The following is a 17,404-nucleotide window of genomic DNA, read 5'->3' as shown; positions in this document are numbered from 1 at the left end:
AATAGCTTCAGATGATGATAAGCTCTGTCTATAGCAAATGACTTCACATACAACCTGTTACAGCCATGAAAGGAGAATGATTATATAAAATATATTATATAAAATATTAAAGGACGTTGAGGGATTGGATGTGTGTGTGTTGGGGAGGGGAAGAGGTGATGTTCCATGCTGGTGAGTTTACTTAGCAGTAATTGGCAACAGCCCAAGGATAAAAGTTTTGTTTGTGTTTTGTTTTGTTTTTTTTCCAACAAATTATCTGCTAAGATACACTTGGCTCCAGCTAAGGTTTGTCGTCTAAGACTGACACTAGGCACATGCTTATTGGGACCAGTAACAAGGCAATATAATAACTTGGGTGGGTTTGGGGGATTAGTGTATTTTTGAGGCTGAGTTAGATTGATCAAAATTCAGTCTGTTTGTCAAAATGAGTAGCTTCATTGGAGTGTGCACAGCGTGTGTGAGTCGTGGCACGTCCAAAAGGGAGTAGATATGAAGGTTAGTGCACTCCCAGACAGGCATTCTGAGCTGTCATAAGACTACTTCAAAATCTGAAAAATTGCTATCCTGAAAAAAATCTATGCCTACGAGCCCTAGGCCTGCATGATATTCCCAACTTTACTCTCGAAATCTCTGAAAAATGTATAGTCAGACCTCGTCTTGCTTCACATGCCATGGTGCCTTTAACTTTCATCACAAATCTATTCTCCAGCTCGTTTCACCATGAAAAAGACTATGCAGATTTGTTGATTGTATAACAAAAAGAGAAGATTAAAGCATCAGTTTGTTTCCATTAAAGCAATTATTTAATCATCTTCTCATCCCTGTCTAGAATAATTATATTAAAATACTTTTCCCCAGACTTCTGAATTAACAATGAAGAATTCAGAGCATCTTTTACTCTCGAACAAAAAGAACGCAGCTAACCAGGTAATGCATTTAAAAATCATTTCCAGCAACGGTGACCGGACAGTCATTTTGCAGTAGTTAAATTTAATAACAGCAACTTTTCTCCTGATTAGCTTCACATATAGAAACACAGGAGCCCGGACTGGGCATCTGACAGATGGTGGCAGAAATACACAGTGCAAAGAAAGACGAAAGAGAAGCAACAGCCACTTGTGATTGTAGCTTTTCATGGCATGCTAGGACTTCATTTAGTGATCTGAATACTTTTTCTAAATTCAGTCCTTTTAAAGGTGCATGCATCCAATCGTAGGGGAAACTCATTCTTTCTACATACTGCTATAAGACCTTATAAAACTAGCACCTTTCAGCACAACATATAATATTTGGTAGCTGTATATGGAGTTTAAGTAATTTTCACTCTGACACTGATGAAGAAACTTTAATTAAAATGGTAAGCAGGTTGCAGCACAATGAATGTATTTAGGATATTAAACACTCCAAGGAAGGAGGGGTAGGGTAGAATGACATTACAGTTTTATAAAGCAAATATAAGTTTGCTTAAATAGTTTCCTTACTATGTTCAAAGAAACCCAGCACATACTTAAACAGCTAAAGTAAGCATTTCAGTATCAACACAGCCTCTTTGGTTTAAACATACAAATTACAAGAAAGCAAAGTCAAGAAAAATAGAGATTATTACTAGAGACTTAAAAACTGATACTTGGAAAGAAAAGTGTACAATCCAAATGTGCCTATGGAGACACATACATGCACACACATATCCCCACAGCCAGCTGTAAATCAAGATAGCTGTAAACTTACCGGAGCAAATATCACCATACACATTTACAAAAGAATTGATAATCCAACTTCCCTCTCCTGAAAGAAAATAGAGGTTGTCTCATACTAAAAATAAAGCTTCTCTGTCCACAGCACCAGCCACTTGTCCCTCTTTTTATGAAGCAAAGGAGGAGAAGAAGAAAATCAATGCAGAGGGAAAGTGAGATGTTATACCAATCAGATAGCAGCTTCAGCCTCATTTGCAGAGAGATGGCAAAACGGTCATATTATTAGACAGTGACAACCCACAGCTGAGTACAGGAACCTGATACTCCCCTCTGGTGAACGCTGCCTGCTTGGTGGGGAGGTGGCTGCCACCATGGTGAGCTCCCACACTTGGCTCTTGGCTCACAACTGGAAGTGCAGGACTGCTTTGCACGAGCAGGCTGCATCACCAACAGAGGCACCATCTCCCCTTTACTCTGCCAGCCCCCTCCTCCTGCAAGCACAGTGCTTAAAAACAAACTAGGAGATTTTTTTAAAGCCAGAATTTTGTGTTTTAAGGGTATGGGGAAAAATGGTGGTTTTATAAAATCTTACGAATAGATTTGCATAGATTAAGTAAATGTTGTTATGTTTGTTAAATAAATTGCCCTCATTTTAATGTAAATGCATAGCTGTTATGCATAATCCCCATTTGGGAAACTCGTACACTGTCCATAAATAATCATTAAGGTGATGTACTGGAAGACAGGCTTTTAAGGCTCTGGCAACTGTAGAAGGGACAGATTACAACTTGGTTGCTCACTCGTCACAGGAGTGTTACTTAAAGACGTCTCCTGCAAAACCTCAAAATTAAAATGGTTTCAGAGGCTTAAGTGCGACATGGATCTGCTTTCTTCTTCAAATAAACCTCTGTAGGAAGGAGTTCAGCTCGACTACTTCGAAGGGCCGAAATCATAGCACCTTGAGGCAATGTGTGTTGGGGGCATTTGTATCAAATTCTTGGAGAGGCTGCCACAGGTGACATGTTCTCACACTGGCATCGTGGACAATGTTTCCCCAAGGCAGATACCGCAGCACAGGGAGAGGAAGTCTGTGTGCCTCTCCTTCCCGCCCCCTACTTTGGGTCCCCACTCGGTGCGGGAATGTTGAAATGCACATAGGCTGGCCACATTTTTTATAGGTATTAATTTGTTGTTAATTTGGAGTTGTCCAAAGTCTTTTTTTGAGGTCCCTCTCTCTGTCTCTCTCTCTCTCGCTTTCCTTCCTATCTCTGTCTCTTTGTATCTCTGTCTCCTTCTCTCTCTCTCTTTCATGCGTGCACACACACACACACACACACACTATCACTACCATATCATAGCCACCACCATCATCTCTCTTACTCCCTTTCTTCCTTTTCTTATACACACAGTAACAACTTGGTGGATAGGGGGAGGTTGGGGGACCAAACCAACCAACCAAAAAACCATAACGAGGAGTCAGGCAACTTGGGTTCTAGTCCTGGTCTCCCACTTACTAGTCATGTGGCCTGCGCCTGAGCCTTGGTTTCCCCTTTGTAAAATGGCTACACTTATGCCTCATAGAGCTGTGAGTGGGAAGGTGTGGGGAAGAAATGAACAACGGGCAAGGCAGTGCTTTCACCTACACTACACACCTGCAAACTGGGCTCAGGGAGTCCAGCTCCCTCTCTCCTCCATCTCTTTCGATCCGCTTGTTGCCTATGCCTGAGCTTTTGGGGTGCTTACCAATTCTTCAAACTGTACATGCCCCATGGCCCCTTTGAAATTCTGATAGGAACCTTTTCCTCCCCACTCCCCTGTGGCCACCCCTCACCTGCTTATTGACAAATCTCTGCACTTCAATGAGAGAAGTTACTCAGGGGAGTAAATTAAGCAAGTGAACACATCTGAAGCAGGGAAAAAAAGCCTTAGAATCACCCGGCATTTAAGTGAGCACTCAGTAAACATTTACAGAATAAATAAATGAAGGATTGACTGAAAGAATAGTGTCTCTGTGCTGAAGGCCACAGTTCCTCCAGGTGGCTGATAAGGGGCAGAGTCAGAGTAGGGTCAAAGAGGCAGCAGTTTCCAGCAATGCACCTGTAGGGTAGAACCATACTTAATTGTTTCTTCACGGAGCCCAGTGAGTAATTCTCATTGGCTCTGAATATTAAGAGTCCCATTGCAAGTAAAAGGAAAAAAGTTCTGTCTTCTACATAATAATAGTGAAGATTTCTTGAATATTTACTCCTTGCCAGATACTATTCTATGTGGGTGTTTTTGGTATATCATTTTATTTGAGCCTTACAAAACTACGAGTTACAATTTTTATTCCAGGGTATAGGTGAAAAAACCAAGACCCAAAGAGTTAAGTAACTTATCTGAAAGTACAGAGTCAATACCTGGTAAAGCTAAAATTTGAGCCTAATTGTATGCCATTGTCTAAGCTATTAACCACTCTGCTTTGGATGCAACGTGATGGCACTTATACTTTTGTTTATTCAGTGTACAGGGTATGACAAATCCACATTTGGATGCATGGACCCTGCAGTAACTTCTCGGCTGTCCCCATTATGCAGATTTGCACCAGAGATTGGAACTTGCTGGTGTAGAAAGAGCCCATGAAATCCACGCTCAGGCCCTGCTGGTTTCTGTATGGCCTTGGGCACTTTAACATTTGGGAAGATAGGAGGTATGAGGCTCAGTCTTGGGTTTGCTAGCGGTTTGCTCTGTGACCCTGGCTGTGTCCCAGAATTTGTCCACGTCTCTGTTTTTCTCAAGTTTAAATTGAAGGGTTTCTACTGAATTATCTCTAAAGGGCTTTCTGGGTCAACTTTCACTAAATAAGGTTCTAAGGCTAATAGGCAGATTCTAATCTGCTGGTTGGGTTAGCTCTTTCTGCCTCGTATTTTTTTCCAGATAGAGCATTAACATTTTCTAAGTCTCCCCTGCTACCACCCTTCTGTCACCTCCCTGTGGACCACTGCAACAGGCTCCCTTTAGGTCTCACTGCTTTCACTCTTACCCCTAGAAATCTCTATTACCCATGTTGAGCCATTTAAAGCATAAATTAGATCATATCACTCATCTGAGAAAAGTTCAATAGTTGTCCAGTAAGTTTACAGTAAGTAAAACCCAAACCCTTTCCCATGCATTTAAAGTGTTATGCAGTCTACCTCTCATCTATCTTTTTGTTTTATTTAATTTCAACCCTCTCCTTTCCTACTCTTCAGCCACACTCACCTTCCATGCCTTTGCGCTAGCTATTCTGCCTGCTTGGAACATTCTTTCCTCAGATCTTTTCCTGCCCTCTCTTCCTTTGCCACTCAGTTGTTAGTTCTACTTTCTGTTTCTTAGAGGGTCTTTCTTCCCCAACCACCTAACCTAAAAACATCTTTCACTTTCTCCAGTAATTCCTCTTTTTAGTTTTTGCACTTTATTGCCTGATACCTTCTTGCTTATTTATTTGTTCATTTATTATTGACTATCTCCATTTACTAAGACGTCCACAAAAGCAGGAAACTTGTTTGTTTTGCTTAATACCATATCCTTGGTGTTTCAGAGAGTACCTGCCACATAGTAGGTGTTCAATAAAGATTTGGTGGATAAATGAATGAATGATGAAATCAGTGAATCAACTTGAGAACAATTTAGGTTTGAGATGGTGGTGAAGAAACCTAATTTTTTCAAAGGAGGTTAGCCTTGAAATACAGAACAGATGAATAAGGGCAATTGATTCATTCATATTCATAGCAGATACAGATTATTTTTACCTCTTCATTCAAAGAACATTCTGGAAGGGTTGCAAATTTCAGTGTCATATTGATTTAATTGGAAGGCATGTAAAAGATGGTGGAAAGCTCCTTTTGTAAACTATATTGATCAGTTGCTTTTTTAGAAGCTTGGGTTCCCAGGGTTTTGCTTAGCTAGGCCCACATACAGTAGCTGATTTTTTGATACTTGCCCATATATTTGTCATTAGAGAAATAATCTTGTCAGCTAGCCACTTAGACTGTCCTAACCTTCCAATTTATCAGATAGCTCAGACAGTCGGCTACCACTCTCTATCATAGAATTGGAACTGACAAAAATAAAGTGATATGCCAATATTTGATAGTTCTTGTTTGAAAAATGATATTCACATTGTTGCTACTGCCTTTAAAATAACATTTATCCATTATTAGATTATCAGAAATAGAAGTACAATGTTTTCTAAGTCAAGTATTTATAGAGAAGGTTAAGTAGATTAAAATAATCTGTGATTCTCTAAAAACCTCATTAGCAATGCTAATTTCTAATATGGTCAGAGCTTCAACTGTGATCTTTCAGTTGAGCAATGGCCTTCAGACAACTTCAAAAGAATTTTTTTTTCCTCTGAATGGAAAAGCTTCTCTCCCCTTTGGTGGACACACCTTCTGGTAAATGCAACAGTTCCTTTGCCTTATAGCTTCTATTTCTAAACATCTGGCCTCTCAAAAGGGGTCCTTTCAGGCCTGTCTGCTGGCCAGTGGGAGGCCTAGCTTTCTAAGCATTTAGCAAACACAGAGAGGAAAATCCAGAGCCAGAGGATTTCTTCATTGCAGTAGGAGAAAGGAGGCAATCAAAGATAAGGCTACTTTGGCCATACTAATAAATGACCAAGAGAGTTAGCCAAGCCTCTTCCATTTTGCTTCAGGAACAATTTCAGCTCTTTCAAGCTATAGCAGTGAGAGCACTTACATCCAATTCACTTATGGAACAACCTTGAAATCTTTAATGGTGCCTTCCTTTCTCTGACTGAGCACAGCTCCTAGCATGGGTAAAATGCAATGTATTGTGATGTGAGCAGGTATATAGAATCAGAGCAGAACTTTCTAGACCTCTTATCTTTTATTTTCCTTGTAAGAGAAAGTTGTTTTCTCCAACACTGTCTCTATTCTTTTTCAAATACTAACGAGATAAAAATAATATTAATATCACTTGAAGATTTATTAGATCATTAGCTTTCCTCAGTAGGCTTCAAATCTGTCTGAAAGAATTCTAAACTGAAGCTGAGAGGTACAGTAGCTCAGGCCTGTGGTACTGGAGCATAAGGTAGGCAAGGCCGGGAGTTCGAGACCAGCCTAGGCAACATAGCAAGCACTCATCTATATGACAATAAAACATAATTTTATTAAAAAATTTCTACACTGAAGCTGAAAGTAGAGGGAAAAGTTTGTGGATGCAAGAAAAGCTAAGGAATATAGTGGAAGAAGATTGAGAAAATTAGGATTTTTGGATGGAAATGTAGTCATGCTTGGGAGATAAAATGAGAGAAAATGGTAGTTAAAATAGCAGGTAAAAATGTGCAAGACATATTTTCTGAAGACCGTGAGTCTAAGCTCTTCAAAGACACAATATCTTACTATCTCTGTATCCTCAGCCCAAAGCAAAGTGCCCAGCACAGAGCGGCCAAGCAATGACTATTTGCTGAATAAGGGATAAACAGAATTATTTGGAGACAGAATATATGTGGCTAAGCATGCTCCCCTTTAGGCAGACATTGTGCTGGAGAGCTTTTGTTTGTCCCTCTAGAGTCACTTTCTTGCCTAATCTGTGTCCCAGCAGGCTGAACTAATGGACCCCATCAATAAGCTCCCTTTCTTTGAGGCATCCTAATGGGAGGTGCTAATAATAAGAAATACTGCCAGGTAATTAGAGGGTGAGAGGAGACTGAGGTCAGGGTATTTATTCCCTTAGTCCCCGTGATGGGTTCTGAAGTTGGCTACATTCCTCTAGCGAAGGCCACAGGTGCTGTGAAGTGGCCCTCTCCATACTTACAGCTTCTTTCTCTTTCTTCTTTCTTTCCTTCTTTTTCTTTCTTTCTCTCCCTCCCTCCCTCCCTACCTCCCTTCACTTCCTTTCTTCCTTCCCTTTTTCCTTTCTTCTTTCTTTCTCTCTCTCTCTCACTCTTCTTTCTTTCTCTGTCTCTCCTCCCTTCCTTCCCTTTTCTTTTTTGCTTAAACCTTGTTTACCTCTTTTCAATTTGCCCCTTCAAAAAACTCCCCTCAATCACTCTGTGTGAGTGTGCCAGCTATTTCCTGCCTGAAACCCGACTAACACAAACAGGTGGATTCTAGTTCCAGCTCTGTATATTACTACTTGTGTGGTCTTGTCACTTGCCCTAACCGATAAAATTGGGCGCTTGTAAACGAATGCATACAAGGTGTTAAGTGCATACCAAGCATTTAACATCTAACAATAATAAGGATGAGAGTGATACCCTTTGCCAGGTTGTTTGATAGAGATAATACTACATGCTGTTTTATTTTGTCTCTAGAGGAAAGAGCTGTTCATGTTTTAGAAAGAAAACGGGCCAGGCACGGTGGCTCATGTCTAATCCCAGCACTCTGGGAGGCCGAGGTGGGCAGATAACTTGAGGTCAGGAGTTTGAGACCAGCCTGGCTAACATGATGAAACCCCATCTCTACTAAAAATACAAAAATTAGCCGGGCGTGGTGGCAGGTGCCTGTAATCCCAGCTACTCAGGAGGCTGAGGCAGGAGAATTGCTTGAACCCGGGAGGCGGAGGTTGCAGTGAGCTGAGATTGTGCCACTGCACTTCAGCCCGGGCAACAGAGCAAGACTCAGTCTCAAAAAGAAACAAAGGAAAGGAAAAGGAAAGCCCATACCCTGTAGAGAAAGATTTAACAGTCTTCCCCCGCTGGAATATCAGGGAGTATGGAAATCCGATTGAGGCACATGGCTTGAGGCAAATAAAGATTTGTTGAAACTACTGGCATTTCTGAGTATTCAGAGACTCAGTCTATGGATTGGGTCCATGAAGAGTTGCTTGTTTTTGATTCTTGCTGGAGGGCTGTCCATGGATTCCTGGATGTCCATCCACAGGCCCTGGATCTCAGGCAATAATTCCAGATCATTAAGTGCTTTCATTTCTGTCCTAAATATTTCAAGCTAATGGAGGGGCTGAGTCCCTTTAGAAACTCCCTAAATATCCCAAAAAGACTTTGACTCAGGAGACAAGGCGACTCAGGTTTTACATATCACAGCTAAAACCATCATTCTTAGCAAACTATCGCAAGGACAAAAAACCAAACACCACATGTTCTCACTCATAGGTGGGAATTGAACAATGAGAACACATGGACACAGGAAGGGGAACGTCACATACTGGGGCCTGTTGTGGGGTGGGGGGAGGGGGAAGGGATAGCATTAGGAGATATACCTAATGTTAAATGATGAGTTAATGAGTGCAGCACACCAACCTGGCACATGCATACATATGTAACAAACCTGCACATTGTGCACATCTACCCTAAAACTTAAAGTATTAAAAAAAAAAAACTCACCTGGGGGCTCACGTCCTCAATAGGAAACAACAATTCTCAAATCCATGAGAAAGTTGTTAATCTTCTAAAGTAAAAGGGCAACCATTCATTCACCTAAAAATTTCAGTTCTGCAATTGTTTATGGCGTATGTGTTATATGCCATGCACATGCCATGTACTGTATCACTCTGTGGATACAGTGGTGAAACAGGTAAACATGGTCCCTGCTGAAAGGAACTTAGAATCTTTCTGAGTTACTGTGCAAGCCAGGAACTTACGGGCCTGGTATATAAATAATTCTCAATACACATTGTTACATGAGTGAATACATAATGCTGAATTACTCTGACATATTTCTTAATTATAAAGGTAGGTATATGAACATATTGGCCTAGACTTTCAATGTTCAAAATGTAAAATACAACCATCAAATATTTTGATGAAATTTGTGTATATGTGAGAATATAGATGGTACATTCAAATAACCAAATCATCTCAGCTTACAATGTAATTACAGGCATAATATTTAATAGCTTAGTTTTTTAAGCCGAACGCCAGGAATTCCATGGAGATGCTCCAGGGCACACCATGAAGATGGGAGGGTGTGCTAGGGGCAGTCAAAGGAACCAGGGTTCCACATCCCTTCTCTGCTTCAACCAGCCCACTCCACTGTTTTCTCTGTATCCCAGGTTTCTGAACATGACTGCATTTGAACAAAATGTTTTAGATCTTAAATGAAAAACTGTGGAGAACCACTTACGTAATGGAGAAATTTGGCAGTTGTGATTTCCTACCATGGACCTTTCTAATTCCAATAATGGTGCTAATATTTGTTTCTGGGTATCAGCCTAAGCGCTGTTCATGGATTATGTCATTTGATTATCATTCAACCTGATCTACTAGAATCTATTGTTATCATCATTTTACAAACGAAAATGATAAGGTTTAGTGCGGTTCAGTAAGTTGCCAAAGTCTGCCTGGATAGTAAATATTTGAACAAAGGCTTGAACCTGGGTTGTCTGTTTCCAAAGCCCAGGTTATAAATCTCCACATTACCCAGTCTTGCGAATGTGCGCAAGTTTAGCATATACAAGGTGGGAGATGGGCATTTCCTTCCTGACAGTTGTTTAGAGATTAAAACAATGTTGTATTTCAGTTGTATAATTTCTGGTGATAGATATAATTATCTACTCTTCTGGTACAGGGGATTAAAAGTGGTCCCACCATAAACTGCTGAGCAGTAGATTCACTCTTTCTGCCGTCCTGCATAGCACACAATATTACATTGTTCATAGTAGGCACTAAATAAGTCTTTGCTTATTATTAAAGAAGAGAAAATAAATGACTTTTATGATGCCTATTTTCATAATTCTAGTCAAAAATAGCAGAGATACATCTGTTTGTTTTCCTTCTATTATTTTTTATAACAGGGAGAGCTCTATCAGCAAATTGATGGCTTAGGAGTTTGGCTGTTCCTAACACACATTTCTTAAAGCCTGGTATGGAACCAGAAGATGAATAGTTGTTGCTATGATTAAGGATTAAGACTTTATATCAGAAAGAATCCCTGAGGTCCAGTTTTTACAAGAATCTTGTTAGTACTGTAATAAGAGTGAAAGAAGAAAAACATGGAAACCATTTTCAATAATCTTGCCCAGTACACTGAGATATGAATAGTAAATTTGATCAAGAGGTACTTGACTTTTTCGCTGATCATTTCCCCATGAAGGGGGGGTGTCATAGCCAACTGAGTGTATTGATGAGACTCTCTTAGCCTTTCCAAACCTCTGTTTATTCACCTATAAAATGGGAATAAAAATGCTGAGGTATATAAATAATACACAGCTGAGGCTGATGGAAATTACAATGACACAAGTGAAATGTACTCTCTCTCCTAAAGCTACAGGCAAGATACATTTCAGAATCAAACACTTACAAAATGGCTTTCTGGTTTTTCTTTCCTTTTCAACAAATTGAGTTAAAAAAACCCTGTTAAACCACTATGCCTCCAGAACCCAGACCAAATTACAGCTCTTAATAAAATAAGGCGTGGGTAGGAAAGAGGATGAAAGTCTGTTTCTCCCCATGTAGTTTATGAAACGTAGAGTGTATAACATTTGAGTGTTTTCATGGAGCTCCAAAAAGCCTAGTCATGATCTGCTTGTTTAAGATTCCATCTGAAAGCACTCTCCCCACTCTGCTCTCAGCTCCTGACCCACCCCAGTCTTAGGGAGGTGTGTGGTGATGATGCCCTGCAGCAAAGGAATGGAGTTGGTCTAAAGGGATCTGGGGCATTATTTTAATTGGAGTGCTTATAAAATATTTGTAAAAACCTCTCTCTTTTGATGAGTATGTCTTACGCCAGAGGTGTTTCTGCATCCCTATGATATGAGGGTAATCCATTTAGCTGGCAAAATTTCTACAATTTTATTAACCAAAAAATCCCTCCTATCTGGGTGAGGCTTCTTATATTTCTAATTTACACCTTCCCGAACCCTCGGATTCAGGGCTGCAAGGGGAGGCGCTGCAGCCCTGGTATCCGATGGGGCAGTGGTGAAGCCACCACGAAGCAGCTCATGCGAAAGTACTTTGAGAACCGAAGCGTGCAGTACTAAGTACAGTTATTCTTAGTTTCTGTGTTCAGTGTCCCCTCCATAAATATAAGACAAAACTATCTTTCCTCCAATAGTTGATTATGTATTACTGCAGGCCTGTTTAGAACAGTCCAAAATGCCATGTGAACTGTTCATTCTCACGCAGAGAAAAACCAGTTTTCTTTCTTCAGCTGTGCCTCTATTTTTAAAATAGAATGTCTTACCAATGTCTTCCTTAAAATGTTAGTTCCTTCTTACACCATCCCCAAGTCTTTAAATGATACAAATTAAGAGAGTCAGTCTGAAGAACAGGACATTCTGATATTTCCAGAATGTCACTTATCTCAACTCTAGGAGCAACACTTTTCCTCTCATTTTGCTGAAAGTGTGGAGACAAAAACTCCCTGTAAGGGGCTGTAGCGCCACTTGTTCTGACATTAGTTAGAAAAGGAAAGTCAGCCTTAGACCCTATTCAGAAAAAGCTTCCACCCTTTCTGTTATAACACGCAATACTCTGTGATATGGATCCTGGGGAACAAAGCCACATAGCAATGTGGTTCTCAGATTTGGCTGCCCATCAGAATCACCCGAGCAGCTTATAAAAGAACGTGGATTATCAGTTCCAAACCCTGACCTCTCCTGAATCAGAAGCCAGGAGGGTAGAGTACTTAGAAATCTGGAATTACCAACTCCCCCAGCTCCCTTTTCCCACAGGGAACTTGACAGGGAATCTTTGTACAGCACATGAAGCTAGTGATTACATTGAATGATCATGAAGAAGGCCACCATAACTTGTCACACAAGGTGAGTTCCATGTTCAACACAAGCTCTGAGCAGGAAGGGGAGTCTCACCAAAGGTGAGAGAAGCTGCCTGCAGGCATCAGCTCCACAGTGTGGAAACAAGATCAGTGAGGCCTCAGGACCATCTCTCCCTCTCCTACCTCTTTCTTATCTGGGTCTGCCTCTTTCAGGGAGCATGCTGCCACACACCAGAACAAGAGGAGGGGCTAATCTAAAAACAATAAGAGCAATGACAATGTTGAAATGTATGCACCAGGCCCTTTCCTAAGCAATTCATAGGAATTAACTCATTTAATCCTCCTGAAGATACAATTAAATTTACAAAAATTAAAGTTCAAAAGCACATGGAAATACTCCCAGAACCACTTCTTAAAATCAGCTTCGATTCTGCTGTCTTACCTTAAACCATCCCTAATCTTTTCCATGTCAGTTCATCAACACTGCTGCCCTGTGTACCACCAGAAGGCTTAAACAATGCTGTCTTGGGGTTGCCTCTCCCCGAGAATGTCCTCCTGAGAGACAAGGACATAAATGCAAGTAGTTTATTTGGGAGATGATTCCAGAAAAGAGAGTGGGGAATTGAGACAGGGAAATGAAGGGATTTGATAAAGAATGCATCCATGAGCAGGTGCCTGTGGTAGGCAACTGGGGCTACCTCACTGGGGTGCTCTGGAAGATAGTGTGAACATGCTTCAGAGGTATTATAGGAGGTGCGGGAAGCAGGTGAATTTATCCTCCAACTCCTTTCTCTTATTGGCTCCTGCAAGCATCAAATTCCCTGCCTTTCTGGTCTATCCCTCTTCACAGCCTGAAGCCCTCAGTTAGAGAGAACTGGCCTACAGACAGAATGCTGAAGGCCTGTGTGGTGAGTTCTGCAGGTTTAGGTGCATGGCCTTAACAGTGCCTGCTGCAATGCATACAGGGGCTTTGGAAAGGTCTAAGTCACAAACAGGGAAGAAAAAAAAAAAAAGAAAAGGGAAACTATGACTTTTTTTTAATGAGGACTCCAAGGAAAGATTATGTTGGTTCTGGCTGTACTTCTCAGTGATTTTTTTTTTCTTTTCGTTTGTTGGTTTTGTTTTTAATGGGCTTGATGATTCGTGTAACAGTTCACACTTTCTTTTTCTTTCCTTTGCAGCCATGTGCTTTCAAGCCTCTGCCCTTGGTTTATGCTGTTCTCTCCACATAGAATGCTTTGCTTCTCTCCTTGGCCAACCATGACTCTACTTTTCCTTCAAAAAACCAGATAAATTACCACTTCCATCCTTTTTAGTTTTTTCTCATGTATAACCCTCATTTCATCCTGTGTCATAGTTAGCCATCTTCATGTTTGTCTGTTCTCTTAACCCAATATTTTGCAAGTGAGAGGTGATAAATATATACCCATTGAATGAATGGACAGACCTAATCTAAATAATGAGATCTCCAGCTTCTTATTTGTAACACCTGATTTAACTTCAAACCCTGCGCACTTGATTGTGGAAGAAATATTCCACTCCCCCTTGTACATGTTCAAAATTCTGCTAGGTCATTCAATGTTATTGATTTCTAGTGTTTTCTTCTCTGTCCTTCCTATCAGGGTAAATTCCACATCACTATTAGGTTGAAATGAGACCTCAAATATATCTTGTTAGTGAAGTAGCACCAGTGAGTTCATAAGTCCACTAGGTTAATGAGCCAACATTATTAAATACAGATAAGGAAATAGAGAAGTGTTGGTGGCTCTGCTGCCCAGGAAGCAACAGCTTCACAAATCATCTTCCAGTTTTAGAAGCAAATGCCCATATCTCACTCTGCTGAAAGGCCACTTTCCCTGTGGGGGATTCATGATTAGGTTTGTGAACTCCTACTCATCCTTCAAAACCCAGCTCAGTTGTCACCCACTCTGTGAAGAGGAAAAGAGGAAAGAAGCTGATACTCATGGAACACTTACTTTTCCAGCTACTGCCTGTGACACTTTACTTGTGTCATTTTATTTTATTCTTCCAACAGCACTGCAAGGTAGAAGTTATCCCCATTCTTCAGAAAGAAAAAAAAAATGGAGCTAAGCAAAAATCCAACAAATAAGTGATGAAAATAAGCTCTGAATCTAGGTCTCTCAGATAGCACAGTGTTATACTTTCTGTTAGTTTAGATTGCCTTCCACATTGTCTATATAATAAACTTTTTTGAGTACATATGACTTCACCCTGTGTCACAATAAATCCTCAGCAAAACATCTGTTAATTGGATATTACCAACCACATTTTACAGGGATGCAAAGGTCTAGGAGGTGCTTTTCTTCCTCCATCTTACGTACTTCCACACTGGCTGATCTGTTTCAGTTATACTGTTTGTCTTAAGACTTCACAATTATGTACATCTATTTCTATCTTCCAAACAAGAACACAATTTCCATGAGGATAAGGTTGTGTGTGTGTGTGTGTGTGTGTGTGTGTGTGTGTATTCTCAGTGTAGGAGTGAATGAATGAAAATATGGAATGAACAAACTCACTGATACCCTAAAATAAAATGTAAAGACGTGTTAATGCTTTGAAAAAGCCTTTAATTTATTTGAAAAACTGACCTTTGACAAAATAAGGTTATGGAATATTTAATGTCCTAAGTACAATTAGCCCACATTGGATGCATTTTATTTATTCACTCAGGTCATGCATATCTGTACTTCCTTCACATCTGGCAATGTGCCAAAGTTTCAGATTCCCAACAACCTAGCTCTTGTCTATGTTTTGATACAGGCAAGAACCAAGAAAAAAAAATCAGACGAAGGATATGTCACCAAGCCTTTCATACACTAATGACCATGTATCTTACTCAGATGAGAGGCTCCCTGGTCCTTACCTAGAGCCTAATTCCTCTTCCTTGACAAATAGTCCTAATAAGGTTGGTTTTTCTAAGTTGACAGCATATTAGAAGAAGCCAAGTAAAACAGAACAAACTGTCAGAAGAAGGCACACTTAGAGCCCCATGGGAACAAGAGAGAGCACAAAAACAATGAAGGAGCAGAAAGAAGAACTTGAAAGCATGGCATTCTCAGAATATTTTACATAAGGGCAAAGAAACCCTGCTCTGCTTCACAGGTTCTGAGGATGTCGTTGCATTCTGGCAAAGAGCAATGTTGTCAAAAAACTGTTAAAATGTTTTCCATCAACTCTATTTTAAAACACAAGGATGTCAACAAGTTATACATTTAACTAATAATTTCTATTTAAAATAGTTACAGTCTTTTTTAAAACAACTTGAAATTTTGGTTCTTAAATGACAAAACTTTGACTATCAGAAATCATGTCTATTAAGGAAGAATTGTTCCCTAGGGATTCCAAAGATGGCTAAAATGTTGCAGTCCTAAGATGGTGCCAGTCCTGGTAATACGCAGAGTGAGCAGAAGTGCTAAGAATAATTGGGTATCTCATGACTAAATTCCACTTCAGATCCACAGCCATTGGATATATTTTGGAGACCTATTTAACTTTAGTAGTTTGAGGCTCTTTCCATTGTTACCCACCTACATGCTCTACAGAGAAGAAGGCTACATTGGTTTATGATATGCAAATTATTGATACAATCCTTTCAGCATAGTAATGTAGTTGTTGATCTTATGCTTGCTCTGGCTCCTCTTACTGTTTTTTGCTCTCAAACATTGTTTGTTACACCGGCAGGATTATAACCACCTATATGAAATAACAAACATACAAAGAAAAAAGAAAAATCTTTCACAGCCCTAACTTGCCAACACATCAGTTCTCTGCATTTTCCATATGCCTTCCAGTTCTCGTTCATGTGTGTAGCATATTGATTGAACAAAATGACCCTATTATTCCTTTTCCTGTGTCCACACTCATTCTATGTGACTTTGTGGCTTTTCTTATGCAAGAAATAGAGTTGATTTTCTCACTCCTTGAATCTGGAGTCACCTCATATCTTTCTCTGGCCAACAGCATACGGCAGAAGTGAAATCGTGCACATTCTGAGCCTAGGTCTTAAGCTGCCTTGCAATCCCCAATCTCCTGGAACTTTTCCAAGTCATCATGGGAATAAGCCTAGGCTAGCCTGCTGGATGACACTGAAGAGACACATGATCTATTATCCCGTTGTTCCAGCCAATAGCCAGTTGACCACTAGACATGTCAGCAAGGCTGTCTGTCCTAGCCTAGACCAGTCAGTATCTGGCTGACCCAAATGCTGACACCCAAAAAGCCCAGCTGATCAGCAGAACCACTTGTTTTCCCATAGACAAATGAGCAATAATAAACGCCTACTGTTTTAAGCATTGAGTTTTACATGATTTATTATGCAGCAATAGTTGATAAAACATGCATACATAGAGTTGACCTAGTCATATTCATATTGTAAATCATGCTTCTAATAGCTATCTTATGTTTCATACAGTGAACATACAATAATTTATTTTAATATTTCCCCAAGTTGGGGATATTTAGTCTACAATTACTAAACAGAGGCAATAATGTGATATAAACAGCACATGTTATTGATCTTCTAAGAATGATTTCAAATCCTGAATTTTCTGATCATGAATTCTGTGGCTTTGACCAACTTAGCCTCAATACACCTGCTTTTTAAAATCTGTGAAAAGAGAATAATGACTCTTTGAGATTTCATTTTTAATACTCAAGATGATACATAACAGTCTAGTGTCTGAACACAGTGTAGTTAATCAATAAATGGAAGATATCATGTAAACAACGCTGCAATTCATTTAATTCCCAACTATGAAATTGTTGGTTCAAAGATAAGGACAATAAAAAAGATAAGGAAATTAAATGAGCAGACAGAAAATACATTTTAAAAAAAACTAGTGCTTAGAGGTAATTACTGACTTATTCAGTTTCCATTTCTGGAGTTGAGAGGCACTGAAGGAATCATTATTCTGCCACAGTACACTTGGCTTGGACCTTGGAAATCAGAAATCATCACTCTGGTGGTTATTAAACAAGAGTATGTGGTGAGAACTCAGAGAACTGTATGAGAAAGAGCTAATGAACTTGTTTAAT

The 17,404-nt window shown here is 39.9% G+C and overlaps 1 protein-coding gene and 1 long non-coding RNA gene across 5 annotated transcripts in view, besides 1 other annotated feature; one reads left to right on the top strand and one right to left on the bottom strand.

Annotated features, from left to right (window-relative positions):
- SYNPR (synaptoporin) overlaps window positions 1-17,404 on the bottom strand; it is a 416,321-nt gene that overhangs the window by 171,727 nt on the left and 227,190 nt on the right. Inside the window, exon 1 of one of the 4 annotated variants that reach the window (NM_144642.5) lies at window positions 1,729-1,886. The exons of the other annotated variants lie outside the window; for them this stretch is intronic. Within the exon in view, the coding sequence (NP_653243.1) occupies window positions 1,729-1,752 (24 nt within the window). The 5' untranslated portion in view covers window positions 1,753-1,886. Of the gene's footprint in view, window positions 1-1,728; window positions 1,887-17,404 lie in introns of those variants that run through there. 4 annotated transcript variants of the gene reach the window in all.
- SYNPR-AS1 (SYNPR antisense RNA 1) overlaps window positions 1-17,404 on the top strand; it is a 126,456-nt gene that overhangs the window by 104,854 nt on the left and 4,198 nt on the right. The window contains exon 2 of the long non-coding RNA NR_046677.1: window positions 859-927. This is a non-coding gene — a long non-coding RNA (SYNPR antisense RNA 1). The remainder of the gene's footprint in view (window positions 1-858; window positions 928-17,404) is intronic.
- Window positions 460-1,004: an enhancer, noted in NCBI's record as "NANOG hESC enhancer chr3:63429870-63430414 (GRCh37/hg19 assembly coordinates)". NCBI's record gives its function as "activates a minimal SCP1, AML or CMV promoter by ChIP-STARR-seq in primed H9 embryonic stem cells {active_cell/tissue: H9 hESC(primed)}" and the evidence as "EXISTENCE:reporter gene assay evidence [ECO:0000049][PMID:30033119]".

The sequence above is a fragment of the Homo sapiens genome, chromosome 3, assembly GCF_000001405.40.
Source record: "Homo sapiens chromosome 3, GRCh38.p14 Primary Assembly".
Classification (NCBI taxonomy): domain Eukaryota; kingdom Metazoa; phylum Chordata; class Mammalia; order Primates; family Hominidae; genus Homo; species Homo sapiens.
Note: the sequence above shows the minus strand (reverse complement) of the source record. Positions and strands in the feature narration are given on the sequence as shown.